This window comes from Homo sapiens, chromosome 16, assembly GCF_000001405.40.
Source record: "Homo sapiens chromosome 16, GRCh38.p14 Primary Assembly".
NCBI lineage: Eukaryota > Metazoa > Chordata > Mammalia > Primates > Hominidae > Homo > Homo sapiens.
Window position 1 is genome coordinate 34,181,923 of NC_000016.10, and position 20,873 is coordinate 34,202,795.

Below are 20,873 nucleotides of genomic sequence, written 5' to 3' on the forward strand. Positions count from 1 at the left end.
GAAATGTTAAACTCTATGAGATAAATGCACACATCACAAAAAGTTTCTCAGAATACTTTTTTCTAGTTTTTATGTGAAGTTAATTCCTTATTCACCATAGGCCTCAAAGCACTACAAATATCCCTCTGCAGATTCTACAAAAAGACTGTTTGCAAACTGCTCAATCCAAAGAATGTTTCAACTCTGTGAGATGAATGCACACACCACAAAGAAGTTTCTCAGAAACTTTCTTTATGGTTTTTCTGTGAAGATATTTCCTTTTTCACCATAGGCCTCAAAGCCCTCACAAATATCCCTTTGCAGATTCTACAAAAAGACTGTTTCCAAACCGCTCAATAAAAATAATTATTGACCACTGTGAGATGAATGCACACAGCTCAAAGAAGTTTCTCAGAATCCTTCAGTCTGATTTTTATATGAATATATTTCCTTTTAAGGCCTCAAAGCACTCCAAATATCCATTTGCAGATTTTACAAAAAGACTGTTTCCAAATGGCTCAATCAAAACAAAGGTTCAACTCTGTGTGATGAATGCACACATCATGAAAAAGTTTCTCAGAATGCTTCTGTCTAGATTTTATGTGAAGATACTTGCTTTTTCACCATAGGCCTCAAAGTGCTCACAAATATCCCTTTACAGATTCTACAAAAATACTTTTTCCAAATTGCTCAATCAAAAGAAAGGTTCAACTCTGTGAGATGTATGCACACCACAAAGAGGTTTCTCAGAAAGCTTCTCTCTAGTTTTTATGTGAAGATATTTCCTTTTTGACCATAGGCCTCCAAGTGTTCACAAATATCCCTTTGCAGATTCTACAAAAAGACTCTTTACACATTGCTCAATCAAAAGAATATTTCAACTCTGTGACGTGAATGCTCACATCACCAGGATGTTTCTCAGAAAGCTTCTGTGTAGTTTTTATGTGAAGATATTTCCTTCTTCACCATACGCCTCAAAGGGCTCACAAATATCCCTTTGCAGATTTTACAAGAAAAGAGTTTCCAATCTTCTCAATGAAAAGAGACACATCTGGGAGATGAATGAACATATGACAAAGCAGTTTCTGAGAAACATTCTGTCTAGTTTTTATGTGAAGGTATCTCCTTTTTCACCACAGGATGCAAAGCGCTCAAAATTGTTGCTTTGCAGAATCTACAAAAACATTGTTTCCACACTGCTCATCAAAGGAAAGGTTCGCATCTGTGAGATGAATGCATGTGTCAAAAAGAAGTTTCTCAGAAAGCTTCTATTAAGTTTTCATGTGAATGTTTCCTTTTTCACCATGAGCCTCAAAGTGCTCACAAATATCCAGTTGAGGAATATTTAAAAAGACTGTTTCCAAACCGCTCAACCAAAAACAAAAGGTTGAACTGTGTGAGATGAATGCACACATCACAAAGAAGTTTCTCAGAAACTTTCTTTATAGTTTTTCTGTGAAGATATTTCCTTTTTCACCATAGGCCTCAAAGCCCTCACAAATATCGCTTTGCAGATTCTACAAAAACACTGCTTCCAAACCACTCAATAAAAAGAATTATTGAACTTTGTGAGATGAATGCACACATCTCAAAGAAGTTTCTCAGAAACCTTCAGTCTGGTTTTTATGTGAATATATTTCCTTTTTCACCATAGGCCTCAAAGTGCTCCAAATATCCATTTGCAGGTTCTACAAAAAGACTGTTTCCAAACGGCTCAATGAAAAGAAAGTTTCAAGTTTGTGAGATGAATGCACACATCACTGAGAAGTTTCACAGGAAGCTTCTGTCTAATTTTTATATGAAGACATTTCCTTTTTCACCATAGGCCTCCATCTGTTCACAAATATCCCTTAGCAGATTCTACAAGAACAGAATGTCCAGACTGATCAAAGAAAACAAACGTCTTTCTCTGTGAGATGAATACACACATCACAAAACTGTTTCTCAGAAACCTTCTTTATACTTTTTATGTGATGATATTTCTTTTTTCTCCCTAGGACAAAAAGCACTCAAAAATATCCCTTTGCAGATTCTACAAAAAGATTGTTTCCAAACTGCTCAATCAAAAAAATAGTTCAACTCCATGAAATGAATGCATACATCCAAAGAAGTTTATCAGAAACCTTCTTTATAGTTTTTATGTGAAGATATTTCCTTTTTCACCATAGGCCTCAAAATGCTCAGCAATATTCCCTTGCAGATTCTGCAAAAAGACTGCTTCCCACCTGCTCAATCAAATAAATGTTTAAACTCTGTGAGACGGATGCACACATTACAAAGAGGTTTCTCAGAAATCTTCTGTCCATTTTTTATGTGAAGATATTTCTTTTTTCACCATAGCACTCAAAGTTCTGACAAATATCCCTTGCAGATTCCACAAACAGACCGTTTTCATACTGCTCAATCAAAAGTAAGTTTCATCTTTGTGAGATGAATGCCCACATCACATAGAGATTTCTCAGAAAGCCTCTCTCTAATTTTTATGTGAAGATATTTCCTTTTTCACCATAGGCCTCAAAGCACTCACAAATATCCCTTTGCAGACTCTACAAGAACAGTTTCCAGACTGACCAGAGAAAAGAAACGTTTACCTCTGTGAGATGAATGCATATATCACAAAGCTGTTTCTGAGAAACCTTGTTTATACTTTTTATGTGAATATATTTCCTTTTTCACCATAGGTCTCAAAGCACTCATAAATATCCCTTTGCAGATTCTACAAAAAGACTGTTTCCAAACTGTTCAATCAAAAGAATGGTTGAACTCTGTGAGATGAATACACACATCACAAAGAAGTTTCTCAGAAAGCTTCTGTCTAGTTTTTATGTGAAGATATTTCCTATTTCATCATAGGTCTCATAGCTCTCAAAAATATGCCTTTACAGATTCTACAGAAATACCGTATCCAAATTGCTCAATCCAAAAAGAGGTTCAAATCTGTGAGATGAATGCACACAACACAAGGAGGTTTCTCAGAAAACTTCTCTCTAGTTTTCATGTGAAAATATTTCCTTTTCCACCATAGGCTTCAAAGCATCACAAATATTCCTTTGCAGATTCTACCTACCAAAATACTGTTTACAAACTGCTCAATCAAAAGAATGTTTCAACTCTGTGAGATGAGTTCTCACATCTCCAAGATGTTTCACAGAAAGCTTCTGTCTAGTTTTTACTTGAAGATGATTCCTTTTTCACCATACACCTCAAAGCACTGACAAATATCCTTTTGCAGATTTTACAAGAACAGAATTTCCAATCTGCTCAAAGGAGAGAAATTGTTACCTCTGTGAGATGAAAGCACACATCGCAAAGCAGTTTCTCAGAAATATTCTGTCTAGTATTTATGTAAAGATAATTCCTTTTTCAACACAGGACACAAAGCGTTAACTAATAACCCTTTGGAAATTCTGCAAAATACTGTTTCCAAATTGCTCATCAAAAGAAAGGTTCATCTCTGTGGGATGAATGATGAATGCATATATCAAAAAGATGTTTCTCAGAAAGCTTCTATCTTGTTTTTATGTGAATGTGTTTCCTTTTTCACCATGGGCCTCAAAGTGCTCAAAAATATCCCTTTGCAGATCCCAAAAAAAGACTGTTTTCAAACTGCTGAGTGAAAGGAATGGTTCAACTCTATGAGATGAATGCACACATCACAAAGAAGTTTCTCACAAACCTTCTTTATAGTTTTTATGTGAAGATATTACCTTTTAACCATAGAACTCAAAGCACTCACAAATATACCTTTGCAGATTCTACAAAAAGACAGTTTCCCAACTGCTCAATCAAAAGAATTGTTGAACTCTGTGAGATGAATGCATACATCACAAAGCAGTTTCTCAGAATTCTTTAGTCTAGTTTTTATGTGAAGATATTTTCTCTTTCACCATAGGCCTCAAAGTGCTCAGAAATATCCCTTTACAGATTCCACAAAAAGACATTTCCAAACTGCTCAATCAAAAGAAAGTTTCAATTTTGTGAGATAAATGCACACATCACCAAGAAGTTTCTCAGTATGCTTCTGTCTAGTTTTTATGTGAAGACAATTCCTTTTTCACCATAGGGCTCTATGCACTCACAAATACCCCTTAGCAGATTCTAAAACAACAGAGTTTCCCAAATGATCAAAGAAAAGAATCGTTTACCTCTGTGAGATGAACACAGACATCACAAAACTGTTTCTCAGAAAACTTCTTTATAGTTTTCTGTGAAGATACCACTTTTTCTGCATAGGCCTCAAAGTGCTCACAAATATCCGTTTGCAGATTCTGCAAAAATACTGTTTCCAAACTGCTGAATCAAAAGAGAGGTTCAAAACTGTGAGATGAATGCACATATCACAAAGAAGTATTTCAGAAACTTTCCTTATACTTTGTAGGTGAAGATATTTCCTTTGGCAACATAGGCCTCAAAGTGATCAAAAATAACCCTTTTCAGATTGTACAAGAACAGAGTTCCCAGCCTGATCAAAGAAAAGAAATGCTTACTTCTGTGAGATGAATGCACACATCACAAGGCTGTTTTTAGGAAACCTGCTTCACAGTTGTTCTGTGAAGATACTTCCTTTCCCACCATAGGCCTCACAGCATTCCAAATATCCACTTGCAGATTCTACAAAAAGAGTGTTTCCAAACTGCTCAATCAAAGGAAAGGTTGAACTCTGTGAGATGAATGCAAACATCACAAAGAAGTTTCTCATAATGCTTCTGTCTAATTTTTATGTTAAGGTATTTCCTTTTCCACCATAGGCATCAAAGTGCTCCAAATATCCACAAGCAGATACGACAAAAAGACTGTTTCCAAACTGCTCAATCAAAAGTGTGGTTCAACTCTCTCAGATGAATACACACATCACTAAGAATTTTCTCAGAATGCTTCTGTCTAGTTTATATATGAAGATATTTCCTTTCCCAACATAGGCATCAAATCACCTCAAATATTCACTTGCAGATTCTACAAAAAGAGGATTTCAAAACTGGTCAATCAAAAGAAAGTTGGAACTCAGTGAGATGAATGCACACATCACAAAGAAGTTTCTCAGAATGCTTCTATCTAGTTTTTATGTGAAGATATTTCCTTTTCCACTCTAGGCCGCAAAGCGCTCCATATATGCAATTGCAGATCCTGCAAACAGACAGTTTCAAAACTGCTCAATCAAAAGAAAGGTTCAAGTCTGTGAGTTCAATGCACACATCACAAAGAAGTTTCTCAGAAGGCTTCTGTCTCGTTTTTATGTGGAGATATTTCCTTTTCCAACATTGGGCTAAAAGCGACACAAATATCCACTTGCAGATTCTACAAAAAGAGTATTTCAAAAATGCTCAATCAAAAGAAAGGCTCAACACTGTGAGATGAATGCACACATCACAAAGCAGTTTCTCAGAATGCTTCTGTCGAGTTTTTATGTGAAGATATTTCCTTTTCCACTAGAGTCCACAAAGCACTCCAGATATCCAATTTCAGATTCTACAAAAAGAGTGTTTAAAAACTGCTCAAACAAAAGAAAGTTTCAACTCTGTGAGTTGAGTGCACACAGCACAAATAAGTTTCTCAGATTGTTTCTGTCTAGATTTTATGTGAAGATATTCCCTTTTCCACCATAGGCCCCAAAGCGCACCAAATATCCACTTGCAGATTCTACAAAAAGTATGTTTCAAAACTCCTCAATCAAAAGAAAGGTTCAACTCTGTTAGGTGAATGCATACATCACAAAGAAGTTTCTCAGAATGCTTCTGTCTAGTTTTTATGTGAAGACAATTCCTTTTTCACCATAGGGCTCTATGCACTCACAAATACCCCTTAGCAGATTCTAAAACAACAGAGTTTCCCAAATGATCAAAGAAAAGAATCGTTTACCTCTGTGAGATGAACACAGACATCACAAAACTGTTTCTCAGAAAACTTCTTTATAGTTTTCTGTGAAGATACCACTTTTTCTGCATAGGCCTCAAAGTGCTCACAAATATCCGTTTGCAGATTCTGCAAAAATACTGTTTCCAAACTGCTGAATCAAAAGAGAGGTTCAAAACTGTGAGATGAATGCACATATCACAAAGAAGTATTTCAGAAACTTTCCTTATACTTTGTAGGTGAAGATATTTCCTTTGGCAACATAGGCCTCAAAGTGATCAAAAATAACCCTTTTCAGATTGTACAAGAACAGAGTTCCCAGCCTGATCAAAGAAAAGAAATGCTTACTTCTGTGAGATGAATGCACACATCACAAGGCTGTTTTTAGGAAACCTGCTTCACAGTTGTTCTGTGAAGATACTTCCTTTCCCACCATAGGCCTCACAGCATTCCAAATATCCACTTGCAGATTCTACAAAAAGAGTGTTTCCAAACTGCTCAATCAAAGGAAAGGTTGAACTCTGTGAGATGAATGCAAACATCACAAAGAAGTTTCTCATAATGCTTCTGTCTAATTTTTATGTTAAGGTATTTCCTTTTCCACCATAGGCATCAAAGTGCTCCAAATATCCACAAGCAGATACGACAAAAAGACTGTTTCCAAACTGCTCAATCAAAAGTGTGGTTCAACTCTCTCAGATGAATACACACATCACTAAGAATTTTCTCAGAATGCTTCTGTCTAGTTTATATATGAAGATATTTCCTTTCCCAACATAGGCATCAAATCACCTCAAATATTCACTTGCAGATTCTACAAAAAGAGGATTTCAAAACTGGTCAATCAAAAGAAAGTTGGAACTCAGTGAGATGAATGCACACATCACAAAGAAGTTTCTCAGAATGCTTCTATCTAGTTTTTATGTGAAGATATTTCCTTTTCCACTCTAGGCCGCAAAGCGCTCCATATATGCAATTGCAGATCCTGCAAACAGACAGTTTCAAAACTGCTCAATCAAAAGAAAGGTTCAAGTCTGTGAGTTCAATGCACACATCACAAAGAAGTTTCTCAGAAGGCTTCTGTCTCGTTTTTATGTGGAGATATTTCCTTTTCCAACATTGGGCTAAAAGCGACACAAATATCCACTTGCAGATTCTACAAAAAGAGTATTTCAAAAATGCTCAATCAAAAGAAAGGCTCAACACTGTGAGATGAATGCACACATCACAAAGCAGTTTCTCAGAATGCTTCTGTCGAGTTTTTATGTGAAGATATTTCCTTTTCCACTAGAGTCCACAAAGCACTCCAGATATCCAATTTCAGATTCTACAAAAAGAGTGTTTAAAAACTGCTCAAACAAAAGAAAGTTTCAACTCTGTGAGTTGAGTGCACACAGCACAAATAAGTTTCTCAGATTGTTTCTGTCTAGATTTTATGTGAAGATATTCCCTTTTCCACCATAGGCCCCAAAGCGCACCAAATATCCACTTGCAGATTCTACAAAAAGTATGTTTCAAAACTCCTCAATCAAAAGAAAGGTTCAACTCTGTTAGGTGAATGCATACATCACAAAGAAGTTTCTCAGAATGCTTCTGTCTAGTTTTTATGTGAAGATATTTCCTTTTCCACTAGAGGCTGCCAAGTGCCAAAATATCCACTTGCAGATACTACAACAAGAGTGTATCAAAACTGCTCAATCAAAAGAAATGTTCAACTCTTTGAGGTAATGCACACATCACAAAGAAGTTTCTCAGAATGCTTCTGTCTAATTTTTATATGAAGATGGTTCCTTTTCCACCATAGGCCTTAAAACACTCCAAATATCGAATTGCAGATACCACAATAAGACTATTCCCAAACTGCTCAAACAAAACAGGTGTTCAACTCTGTGAGTTGAATGCACACATAACAAAGAAGTTTCTCAGAATCCTTCTGTCTAGTTTTTATGTGAAGATATTTCCTTTTCCATCGTAGTCCAACAATCGCTCCAAATATCCACTTGCAGATTGTACAAAAAGAGTGTTTCAAAACTGCTGAATCAAAACAAAGGTTCAACTCTGTGAGATGAATGCAAACATCACAAAGAAGTTTCTCAGAAAGATTTTGTCTAATTTTTATGTTAAGGTATTTCCTTTTCCACCATAGGCCTCAAATCATTCCAAATATCCACTTGCAGATTCTACAAAAAGAGTGTTTCAAAACTTCTCAATCAAAAGAAAAGTTCAATTCTGTGATAGGAATGCACACATCACAATGAAGTTTCTCAGAATGCTTCTGTGTAGTTTTTATGTGAAGATATTTCCTTTTGAACGTAGCCCTCAAAGCACTAAAATATACAATTGCAGATTCTACAAAAAGAGTGTTTCAAAATTGCTGAGTCAAAAGAAACGTTCAATTCAGTGAGATGAATGCACCCATCAAAAAGAAGTTTCTCAGAATGCTTCTGTCTAGTTTTTATGTGAAGCTATTTCCGTTTCCAGTAGAGGCCACAAAGTGCTCCAAATATCCACTTGAAGATTCTATAAAAAGAGGGTTTCAAAACTGCTCAATGAAAAGAAAGGTTTAACTATGTGAGGTCAATGCACATATCACAAAGAAGTTTTTCAGAATGCTTCTCTGTAGTTCTTATGTGAAGATATTTCCTTTTCCACCATGAGCCTCAAAGCACTCCAAATATACATTTGCAGATACTAGAGAAACACTGTTTCCAAACTGCTCAATCAAAAGAAAGTTTCAACTCTGAGAGTTGAATACATACATCACAAAGAAGTTTCTCAGAATTCTCTGTGGTTTTTATGTGAAGTTATTTCCTTTTCCACCATAGGCCTCAAAGCGCTCCAAGAATTCAATTGCAGATTCTACAAAAAGCCTTTTTCCAAACTGCTCAATCAATAGAAAGGTTCAACTCTGTGAGTTGAATGCACATATCACAAAGAATTTTCTCAGAATGCTTCTGTCTAGTTTTTAAGTGAAGATAGTTCCTTTTTCACCTTAGGCCTCAAAGCACTCAAATATCCATTGCAGATTCTACAAAAAGTGTGTTTCAAAACTGCTCAATCCAAAAAAAGGTTTAACTCTGTGAGTTGAATGCACACGTCACAAAGAAGTTTCTCAGAATGATTCTGTCTAGGTTTTATGTGAATATATTACCTTTTCCACTTTAGGCCACAAAGCTCTGCAAATATCCACTTGAAGATTCTACAAAAAGAGTGTTTCAAAACTGTTTAATGAAAAGAAATTTCAACACTGTGAGATGAATGCACACATCACAAAGAAGTTTCTCAGAATGCTTCCATCTAGTTTTTATGTGAAGATATTTCCTTTTCCACCATAGGCTGCAAAGTGCTCCAAATATCCACATGCAGATACTACAAAAAGACTGTTTCCAAACTGGTCAATAAAAAGAGTAGTTCAACTCTTCCAGATGAATGCAAACATCACGAAGTTTCTCAGAATGCTTCTGTCAAGATTTTATGTGAAGATATTTCCTTTTCAAATATAGGCCTCTAAGTGCTCCTAATATACATTTGTAGATGCTACAAAAAGAAAGTTTCCAAACTGCTCAATAAAAAGATAGGTCCAACTCTGTGTGCTGAATGCACACATCTCAAAGAAGTTTCTCAGAATGCTTCTCTCTAGTTTTTATGTGAAGATGTTTCCTTTTCCACCAGCGGCTGCAAAGCACTCCAAATATCCATTTGCAGATTCTACAAAAAGACTGTTTCCAAACTGCTCAATCAAAAGTAAGTTTCAGCTCTGTAAGAAGAAGGCACACATCACAGAGAAGTTTCTCAGAACGTTCCTGTCTTGTTTTTATGTGAAATTACTTTTAGTTTCCCTAGAGGCCACAAAAGGGCTCAGAAATATCCCTTTGCAGATTCTACAAAATGACTGATTGAAAACTGCTCAATCTAAAGAACGGTTCAACTCTGTGAGATGAATGCACACATCAAAAAGAAGTTTCCCAGAATGCTTCTGTCTAGTTTTTTATGGAAAGATATTTCCGTTTCCACCACAGGACTCAAAGCACTCCAAATATCCAATTGCAGATCCCACAAAAAGAGTGTTTCAAAACTGCTCAATCAAAAGAAAGTTTCAACACTGAGATGAATGCACACATCACAAAGAAGTTTCTCAGAATGCTTCTGTCCACTTTTTATGTGACGACATTTAATTTTACACCATAGACCTCAAAGCACTCCAAATATCCACTTGCAAATCCTACAAAAAGTGTGTTTCAAAACTGCTTAATTAAAAGAAAGTTTCAACTCTGTGAGATGAATGCACACATCACCAAGAAGTTTTTCAGAATGCTTCTGTCTAGTGTTTATGTGAAGATATTTCCTTTTCCAATAAAGGTCACAAATGATGTAAAATATCCACTTGCAGATTCTACAAAAAGGGTGTTTAAAAACTGCTCAATCAAAAGAAAGGTTAAACGTTATGAGTTGAATTCACCCATCACAAACAAGGTTCTCAGAATGCTTCTGTCTAGTTTTTATATGAATATATTTCCTTTTCCACCATAGGCCTCAAAGTGCTCCAAATATCCACTTGCAGATTCTACAAAAACAGTGTTTACAAACTGCTCAGTCAAAAGAAAGTTTCAACACTGTGAGATGATTGCACACACCACAAAGAAGTTTCTCAGAATGCTTCTATGTAGTTTTTATATGACGGTATTTCCTTTTCCACAACAGGCCTGAAAGCAATCCAAGTATCCACTTCCAGATTCTACAAAAAAAGTTTTTCTGCCCAGTCAAAAGAAAGGCTCAACTGTGAGAGATGAATGCACACATCACAAAGAAGTTTTTCAGAATACTTCTGCATAATTTTTATGTGAAGATAATTCCTTTTCCACCGTAGGCATCAAAGGGCTCCCAATTTCCACCTACAGATTCTACAAAAAGAGAGATTCAAAACTGCTGAATCAACAGATATGTTCAACTCTGTGAGTTGAATGCAGACATGACAAAGAAGTTTTTCAGAATGCTTCTGTCTAGTGTTTATGTGAAGATATTTCCATTTCCAATATAGTCCTCGAAGTGCTCCAAATATCCAATTGTAGATTCTAAAAAAAGGGTGTTTCAGAACTGTTCAATGAAATCAAATGTTCAACACTGTGAGATGAATGCGCACATCACAAAGAAGTTTCTCAGAATGCTTCTGTGTAGTTTTTATGTGAAGATATTTCCTTTTCCAGCATAGGCCTCAAAGCACTCCAAATATCCACTTGCAGATTGTACAAAAAGAGTGTTTCAAAACTGCTGAATCAATAGAAAGGTTCAACTCTGTGAGATGAATGCACACATCACAAAGAAGTTTCTCAGAATGCCTCTGTATAGTTTTTATGTGAAGATATTTCCTTTTCCACAATAGGCCTCAAAGCGCTTCAAATATCCACTTGCAGATTCTACAAAAAGAGTGTTTCAGAACTGCTCAATCAAAAGAAAGTTTCAACTCCGTGAGATGAATGCACACATCACAAAGAAGCTTCTCAGAATGCTTCTGTGTAGTTTTTATGTGAAGATATTTCCTTTTCCAAAACAGGCTGCAAAGAGCTCCTAATATCCACTTGTAGATTCTACAAAAAGAGAGATTCAAAACTGCTCAATCAAAAGATAGGTTCAACTCTGTGAGTTGAATGCTCGCATCACAAAGAAGTTTCTCAGAATGCTTCTGTCTGTTTTTTATGGGAAGATATTTCCGTTTCCACCATAGGCTTCAAAGTGCTCCAAATATCCACTTGCAGATTCTACAAAAAGAGTGTTTCCAAACTGCTCAATCAAAAGAAAAGTTCAACACTGTGAGATGAATGCACACATCACAAAGTAGTTTCTCAGAATGCTCCTATGTAGTTTTTATCTGAAGATATTTCCTTTTCCACTATAGGCCTCAAAGTGCTCCAAATATCCAATTGCAGATTCTACAAAAAGAGAGTTTCAGAACTGCTCAATCAATACGAAGGTTCAACTCTGTGAGATGAATGCACACATCAAGAAGAAGTTTCTCAGAATGCTTCTGTCTACTTTTTATGTGAAGATATTTCCTTTTCCACCATAGGCCTCAAAGTGCTTCAAACATCCACTTGCAGATCCTACAAAAAGAATGTTTCAAAAGTGCTCAATCAAAAGAAAGTTTCAACTCTGTGAGATGAGTGCACACATCACAAAGATGTTTCTCAGAATGCTTCTGTGTAGTTTTTATGTGAAGATATTTCCTTTTCCACGATAGGCCTCAAAACGCTCTAAATATCCAAATGCAGATTCTACAAAAAGAGAGATTCAAAACTGCTCAATCAAAATGAAGGTTCAACTCTGTTAGATGAATGCCCACATCCCAAAGAAGTTTCTCAGAATGCTTCTGTGTACTTTTTATGTGAAGATATTTCCTTTTCCACAACAGACCTCAAAGCGCCTCAAATATCTACTTACAGATTCTTCCAAAAGAGTATTTCCAAAGTGCTCAATCAAAAGAAAGGTTCAATTCCGTGAGATGAATGCACATATCACAGAGAAGTTTCTCAGAATGCTTCTATGTACTTTTTATTTGAAGATATTTCCTATTCCACAGTGGTCCTCTAAGCTCCCCAAATATCCATTTGCAGATTCTACAAAAAGAGTGTTTCAAGACTGCTCAATCAAAAGAAAGGTTCAACTCTGTTAGGTGAATGCACACAACACAAAGAAGTTTCTGAGAATCCTTCTGTGGGCTTTTTATGTGAAGATATTTCCTTTTCCACCATACGCCACAAAGGGCTGAAAATATGCACTTGCAGATTCTACAAAAAGAGAGTTTCAAAACTGGTCTATCAAAAGATAGGTTCAGGTATGTGGGTGGAATGGACACATCACAAAGAACTTTCTCAAAATGCTTCTGTGTAGTTTTTTTCTGAAGATATTTCCTTTTCAACAATAGGCCTCAAAGTGCCCCAAGTATCCACTTGCAGATTCTACAAAAAGATAGATTAAAAAGTGCTCAATCCAAACATAGGTTCAATTCTGTAAGATGAATGCACACATCACAAAGAAGTTTCTCAGAATGCTTCTTCTGTATATTATTTATGTGAAGATATTTCTTTTCCACAGTAGGTCTCAAAGTGCTCCAAATATCCACTTGCAGATTCTACAAAAAGAGTGTTTCAAAACTGCTCAATCAAAACGAAGGTTCAGGCTGGGTGCGGTGGCTCCTGCCTGTAATCCCAGCACTTTGGGAGGCCGAGGTGGGTGGATCACGAGGTCAGCAGATCGAGACCATCCTGGGTAACACGGTGAAACCCCGTCACTACTAAAAATACAAAAAGTTAGCCGGGCTTGGTGGCAGGCGCCTGTAGTCCCAGCTACTCGGGAAGCTGAGGAAGGAGAATGGTGGGAACCCGGGAGGCGGAGCTTGCAGTGAGCCGAGATCTCACCACTGCACTCCAGCCTGGGCCACAGAGCGAGACTCCGGTCAAAAAAAAAAAAAAAAAAAAAAAAAAAAAAAAAACGAAGGTTCAACACTGTGAGATGAATGCACACATCAAAAAGAAGTTTCTCAGAATGCTTCTGTGTAGTTTTATGTGAACATATTTCCCTTTCCACAATAGGCCTCACAGGGCTTCAAATATCCACTTCCAGATTCTATAAAAAACAGCGTTTCATAACTGCTCAATCAAAAGAAACTTTCAACTCTGTGAGATGAATTTATACATCAGAAAGTAGTTTCTCAAAATGCTTCTGTGTAATTTTTATGTGAAGATATTTCCTTTTCTACCATAAGCCACAAAGGGCTCCAAATATCCACTTGCATATACTACAAAAAGAGAGTTTCAAAAATGCTCTATCAAAAGAAAGGTTCAAGACTGTGAGTTGAATGCACGCATCACAAAGAAGTTTCTCAGAATGCTTCTGTATATTTTTTATGTGAAGATATTTCCTTTTCCACAGTAGGCCTCAAAGTGCTCCAAATATCCACTTGCAGATTCTACAAAAAGAGTGTTTCAAAACTGCTCAATCAAAAGAAAGATTCAACTCTGTGAGAAGAATGCACACATCACAAAGAAGTTTCTCAGAATGCTTCTGTGTAGTTTTTATGTGAAGATATTCCCTTTTCCACCATAGGCCACAAAGGGCTCCAAATATACACTTGCAGATTCTACACAAAGAGAGTTTCAAAGCTGCTCTATCGAAAGATAGGTTCAGTTCTGTGATTTCAATGCACATATAACAAAGAAGTTTCTAAGAGTGCTTCTGTGTAGTTTTTATATGAAGATACTTCCTTTTCCAAAATAGGCTGCAAAGGGCTTCAAATAACCACTTGGAGATACTAAAAAAAGAGAGATTCAAAACTGCTAAATCAAAGGATAGGTTCAACTATTGGAGTTGAATGCGCACATCACAAAGAAGTTTCTCAGAATGCTTCTGTGTAGTTTTTATGTGAAGATATTTCTTTTTCCACTATAAGGCTCAAAACACTCCAAATATCCACCTGCAGATTCTACAGAAAGAGTGTTTCCAAACTGCTCAATGATAAGATAGGTTCAAATCTGTGAGATGAATGCACACATCACAAAGAAGTTTCTCAGAATGCTTCTGTGTAGTTTTTATTATTATTATTATTATACCTTAAGTTTTAGGGTACATGTGCACAATGTGCAGGTTAGTTACATATGTATACATGTGCCATGCTGGTGTGCTGCAACCATTAACTCGTCATTTAGCATTAGGTATATCTCCTAAAGCTCTCCCTACCCCCTCACCCCACCCCATAACAATCCCTAGAGTGTGATGTTCCACTTCCTGTGTCCATGTGTTCTCATTGTTCAATTCCCACCTATGAGTGAGAATATTCAGTGTTTGGTTTTTTGTTCTTGCGATAGTTTACTGAGAATGATGATTTCCAATTTCATCCATGTCCGTACATAGGACATGAACTCATCTTTTTTTATGGCTGGGTAGTATTCCATGTTGTATATGTGCCATATTTTCTTAATCTAGTCTATTATTGTTGGACATTTAGGATGGTTCCAAGTCTTTGCTATTCTGAATAGTGCCACAATAAACATACATGTGCATGTGTCTTTATAGCAGCATGATTTATAGTCCTTTTGGTATATACCCAGTAATGGGATGGCTGGGTCAAATGGTATTTCTAGTTCTAGATCCCTGAGGAATCACCACACTGACTTCCACAATGGTTGAACTAGTTTACAGTCCCACCAACAGTGTAAAAGTGTTCCTATTTCTCCACATCTTCTCCAGCATCTGTTGTTTCCTGATTTTTTAATGATTGCCATTCTAAGTGGTGTGAGATGGTATCGCATTGTGGTTTTGATTTACATTTCTCTGATAGCCAGTGATGGTGAGCATTTTTTCATGTGTTTTTTGGCTGCATAAATGTCTTCTTCTGAGAAGTGTCTGTTCATGTCCTTCACCCACTTTTTGATGGGGTTGTTTGTTTTTTTCCTGTAAATTTGTTTGAGTTTATTGTAGATTCTGGATATTAGCCCTCTGTCAGATGAGTAGATTGCGAAAATTTTCTCCCATTTTGTAGGTTGCCTGTTCACCCTGATGGTAGTTTCTTTTGCTGTGCAGAAGCTCTAGTTTAATTAGATCCCATATGTCAATTTTGGCTTTTGTTTCCATTGCTTTTGGTGTTTTAGACATGAAGTCTTTTCCTATGGTTATGTCCTGAATGGTAATGCCTAGGTTTTCTTCCAGGGTTTTTATCGTTTTAGGTCTAATGTTTAAGTCTTTAATCTGTCTTGAGTTAATTTTTGTATAATCTGTAAGAAAGGGATCCAGTTTCTGCTTTCTACCTATGGCTAACCATTTTTCCCAGCATCATTTATTAAATAGGGAATCCTTTCCCCATCGCTTGTTTTTCTCAGGTTTGTCAAAGATCAGACAGTTGTAGACATGCAGCGTTATTTCTAAGGGCTCTGTTCTGTTCCATTGATCTATATCTCTGTTTTGGTAGCAGTACCACGCTTCTGTATAGTTTTTATGTGAAGTTAATACCTTTTCCACCTTAGGCCAAGAACGGCTCCAAATATCCACTTGCAAATGCTACAAAAAGACAGTTTCAAAACTGCTCTGTCAAAAGATAGGTTCAACTCTGTGAGTTGAATGCACACATCACAAATAAGTTTCTCAGAATGCTTCTGTGTAGTTTTTATGTGAAGCTATTTCCTTTTCTACAATAGGCCTAAAAGCACTCCAAATGTCCACTTGCAGATTCTACAAAAAGAGTATTTCAAAACTGTTCAATCAAAAGAGAGGTTGAACTCTGTGAGATGAATGCACACATCAAAAACAAGTTTCTCAGAATGCTTTTGTGAATTTTCTATTCAAAGATATTTCCTTTTCCACAGTAGACCTTGATGCAATCCAAATATCCACTTGCAAATTCTACAAAAAGGGTGTTTCCAAACTGCTCAATCCAATGAAAGTTTCAACTCTATGAGATGAATGCACACATCAAAAAGGAGTTTCTCAGAATGCTTCTGTGTAGTTATTAGGTGAAGATGTTTCCTTTTCAAAAATAGGCCACAAAGGGCTCCAAATATCCACTTGCAGATTCTACACAAAGAGAGATTCAAAACTGTTCAATCAAATGACAGGTTCAACTCTGTGAGTTGAATGTACACATCACACAGAAGTTTCTCAGAATAGTTCTGTGTAGTTTTCTTGTGAAGATATTTCCTTTTCCACTACGGGCCTCAAAGCGCTCCAAATATCCACTTGCAGATTCTACAAAAAGAGTGTTTCCAAACTGGTCAATCCAAAGAAAGGTTCAACTCCGTGACAGGAATGCACACATCCAAAGACGTTTCTCAGAATTCTTCTGTGTAGTTTCTATGTGAAGATATTTCCTTTTCCAAAATAGGTCTCAAAGTGCTACAAATATCCACCTGCAAGTTCTACAAAAAGTCTATTTCAAAACGACTCAAACAAAAGACAGGTTCTACTCTCTGAGATGAAAGCACACATCACAAAGACGTTTCTCAGAATCCTTCCGTGTAGTTTTTATGTGAAAGTATTTCCTTTTCCACTATAGGCATCAAAGCGCTTCAAATATCCACTTGCAGATTTTATAAAAAGAGTATTTCAAAACTGCTCAATGAAAAGAAAGTTTAAACTCTGTAAGATGAATGCACACATCACAAAGAAGTTTCTCAGAATGCTTCTGTGTTTTTTTTATGTGAAGATATTTCCTTTTCCACAATAGTCCTTGATGCGATCCAAATATCCACTTGCAAATTCTACAAAAAGGGTGTTTCAAAACTGCTCAATCAAAGTAAATTTTCAACTCTATGAGATGCGTGCACACATCACAAGGAAAATTCTCAGAATGCTTCTGTGTAGTTTTTTTTTTTTTTTTTTTTTTTTTTTTTTTTTTTTTTTTTGAGACGGAGTCTCGCTCTGTCGCCCAGGTCAGACTGCGGACTGCAGTGGCGCAATCTCGGCTCACTGCAAGCTCCGCTTCCCGGGTTCACGCCATTCTCCTGCCTCAGCCTCCCGAGTAGCTGGGACTACAGGCGCCCGCCACCGCGCCCGGCTAATTTTTTGTATTTTTAGTAGAGACGGGGTTTCACCTTGTTAGCCAGGATGGTCTCGATCTCCTGACCTCATGATCCACCCGCCTCGGCCTCCCAAAGTGCTGGGATTACAGGCGTGAGCCACCGCGCCCGGCCCTGTGTAGTTTTTATGTGAAGATATTTCCTTTTCAATAATAGGCCGCTAAGGGCTGCAAATATCCACTTGCAGATTCTACAAAAAGAGAGATTCAAAACTGTTCAATCAAATGACAGGTTCAACCCTGTGAGTTGAATGCACACGTCATGCAGAACTTTCTCAGAATGCTTCTGTGTAGTTTTTATGTGAAGATATTTCCTTTTTCACCATAGGCCTCAAAGCGCTCCAAATATCCACTTGCAGATTCTACAAAAAGAGTGTTTCCAAACTGCTCCATCAAAAGAGAGGTTCAACTCTGTGAGATGAATGCACACCTCACAAAGAAGTTTCTCAGAATGCTTCTTTGTAGTTTTTATGTGAAGATATTTCCTTTTCCGCAAAACGCCTCAAAGCACTCCAAATATCCCCTTGCAGATTCTACAAAAAGAGTGTTTCAAAACTGCTGAATAAAATGAAAAGCTCAACTCTGTGGGATGAATTCACACATCACAAAGATGTTTCTCAGAATGCTTCTGTGTAGTTTTTATTTGAAGGTATTTTCTTTTCCATCCCAGCCCATGAAGGGCTGCATGTAACCACTTGAAGATGCTACAAAAAGAGAGTTTTGAAACTGCTCCATCAAAAGATAGGTTCAAATCTGTGAGTTGAATGCAGACATTGCAAAGAAGTATCTTGGTATTCTTCTGTGTAGTTTTTATGTGAAGATATTTCTTTTTCCACCATAGTCGTCAAATTGCTTCGAATATCCACTTGCAGATTCCACAAAAAGAGTGTTTCAAAAGTGAACAATCAAAAGAGAGGTTGAACTCTGTGAGATGAATGCACAGATCACAAACAAGTTTCTCAGAATGCTTCTGTGTACTTTTTTGTTTTAATGAAAAAATTTTTATTTAGTGTTCTAATAGAATTTACTTTTATTAAAAATCTTTTTTTTTGAGCTTTCTGTTTTTTTATTATACTTTAAGTTTTAGGGTACATGTGCACACTGTGCAGGTTAGTTACATATGTATACATGTGCCATGCTGGTGCGCTGCACCCACTAACTCGTCATCTAGCATTAGGTATATCTCCCGATGCTATCCCTCCCCCCTTCCCCCACCCCACCAGAGTCCCCAGAGTGTGATATTCCCCTTCCTGTGTCCATGTGATCTCATTGTTCAATTCCCACCTATGAGTGAGAATATGCGGTGTTTGTTTTTTTGTTCTTGAGATAGTTTACTGAGAATGATGATTTCCAATTTCATCCATGTCCCTACAAAGGACATGAACTCATCATTTTTTATGGCTGCATAGTATTCCATAGTGTATATGTGCCACATTTTCTTAATCCAGTCTATCATTGTTGGACATTTGGGTTGGTTCCAAGTCTTTGCTATTGTGAATAATGCTGCAATAAACATACGTGTGCATTTATCTTTATAGCAGCATGATTTATAAACCTTTGGGTATATACCCAGTAATAGGATGGCTGGGTCAAATAGTATTTCTAGTTCTAGATCCCTGAGGAATCACCACTGATCTTTGACAAACCTGAGAAAAACAAGCAATGGAGAAAGGATTCCCTATTTAATAAATGGTGCTGGGAAAACTGGCTAGCCATATGTAGAAAGCTGAAACTGGATCCCTTCCTTACACCTTATACAAAAATCAATTCAAGATGGATTAAAGACTTAAACGTTAGAGCTAAAACCATAAAAACCCTAGAAGAAAATCTAGGCATTACCATTCAGGACATAGGCATGGACAAGGACTTCATGTCTAAAACACCAAAAGCAATGGCAACAAAAGCCAAAATTGACAAATGAGATCTAATTAAACTAAAGAGCTTCTGTGTGCTTTTTATGTGAACATATTACCTTCTCCACCATAGGCCTCAAAGCGCTCAAAATATCCACTTGCAGATTCTTCAAAAAGAGTGTTTCCAAACTGCTGAATGAAAAGAAATGTTCAACTCTGTGAGATGAATGCACACATCACAAAGAAGATTCTCAGAATGCTTCTGTGTAGTTTTTAAGTGAAGATATTTCCTTTTCCAGCATAGGCCTCAAAGCACTCCAAATATCCACTTGCAGATTCTACAAAAAGAGTGTTTCAAAACTGCTCAATCAAAAGAGAGCTTGTACTCTGTGAGATGAATGCACACATCACTAAGAAGTTTCTCAGAATGCTTCTGTGTAGTTTTTCTATGAAGATATTCCTTTTTCCACCATAGACTTCAAAGGGCTCCAAATATCCACTTGAAGATTCTACAAAAAGAGAGTTTCAAAACTGCTCTATCAAAAGATAGGTTCAACTCTGTGAGTTGAATGCACACATCACAAAGTAGTTTCTCAGAATGCTTCTGGGTAGTTTCTATGTGAAGATATTTCCTTTTCCACCATAGGCCTCAAAGCGCTCCCAATATCCACTTGCCAATCCTACAAAAAGAGTGTTTCCAAACTGCTGAATAAAATGAAAGGCTCAACTCTGTGAGATGAGTTCACACATCACAAAGAAATTTGTCAGAATGCTTCTGTGTAGTTTTTATGTGAAGATATTTCCTTTTTCATCTCAGGCCACAAATGGCTCCATGCATCCAATTGAATATGCTACAAAAAGAGAGTTTTGAAACTGCTCGATCAAAAGGTAAGTTCAAATTTGTGAGTTGAATGCACACTTCACAATGGAGTATCTTGGAATTTTTCTGTGCAGGTTTTTCGTGAAGATATATCCTTTTCCACCATAGGTTTCAAAATTGCTCCGAATATCCACTTGCAGATTCCACAAAAAGAGGGTTTCAAAAGTGCACAATCAAAACAGAGGTTCAACTCTGTGAGATGAATGCACACATCAAAAAGAAGTTTCTCAGAATGCTTCTGTGTACTTTTTATGTGAAGATATTTCCTTTTCCAAAATAGGTCTCAAAGCGCCCCAAATATCCACCTGCAGGTTCTACAAAAAGTCTGTTTCAAACCTGCTCAATCAAAAGACAGGTTCAACTCTCTGAGATGAATGCACACATCACAAAGAAGTTTCTCAGAATGCTTCTGTGTAGTTTTTGTGTGAAGATATTTCCTTTTCCACTCTAGGCATCAAAGGGCTTCATATATCCACTTGCAGATCCTATCAAAAGAGTGTTTCAAAACTGCTCAATCAAAGGAAAGTTTAAACTCTGTGAGATGAATGCACACATCACAAAGGAGTTTCTCAGAATGCTTCTGTGTATTTTTTATGTGAAGATATTTCCTTTTCCACAATAGACCTCGATGTTATCCAAATATCCACTTGCAAATTCTACAAAAAGGGTGTTTCCAAACTGCTCAATCAAATGAAAGTTTCACCTCTATGAGATGAATGCACACATCACAAGGAAGTTTCTCCGAATGCTT

The 20,873-nt window shown here is 36.9% G+C and overlaps 3 annotated features.

Moving 5' to 3' along the window:
* Positions 10,865-11,849: an enhancer, noted in NCBI's record as "OCT4-NANOG hESC enhancer chr16:33995254-33996238 (GRCh37/hg19 assembly coordinates)". NCBI's record gives its function as "activates a minimal SCP1, AML or CMV promoter by ChIP-STARR-seq in primed H9 embryonic stem cells {active_cell/tissue: H9 hESC(primed)}" and the evidence as "EXISTENCE:reporter gene assay evidence [ECO:0000049][PMID:30033119]".
* Positions 11,850-12,834: an enhancer, noted in NCBI's record as "OCT4-NANOG hESC enhancer chr16:33996239-33997223 (GRCh37/hg19 assembly coordinates)". NCBI's record gives its function as "activates a minimal SCP1, AML or CMV promoter by ChIP-STARR-seq in primed H9 embryonic stem cells {active_cell/tissue: H9 hESC(primed)}" and the evidence as "EXISTENCE:reporter gene assay evidence [ECO:0000049][PMID:30033119]".
* Positions 13,488-14,338: an enhancer, noted in NCBI's record as "OCT4-NANOG hESC enhancer chr16:33997877-33998727 (GRCh37/hg19 assembly coordinates)". NCBI's record gives its function as "activates a minimal SCP1, AML or CMV promoter by ChIP-STARR-seq in primed H9 embryonic stem cells {active_cell/tissue: H9 hESC(primed)}" and the evidence as "EXISTENCE:reporter gene assay evidence [ECO:0000049][PMID:30033119]".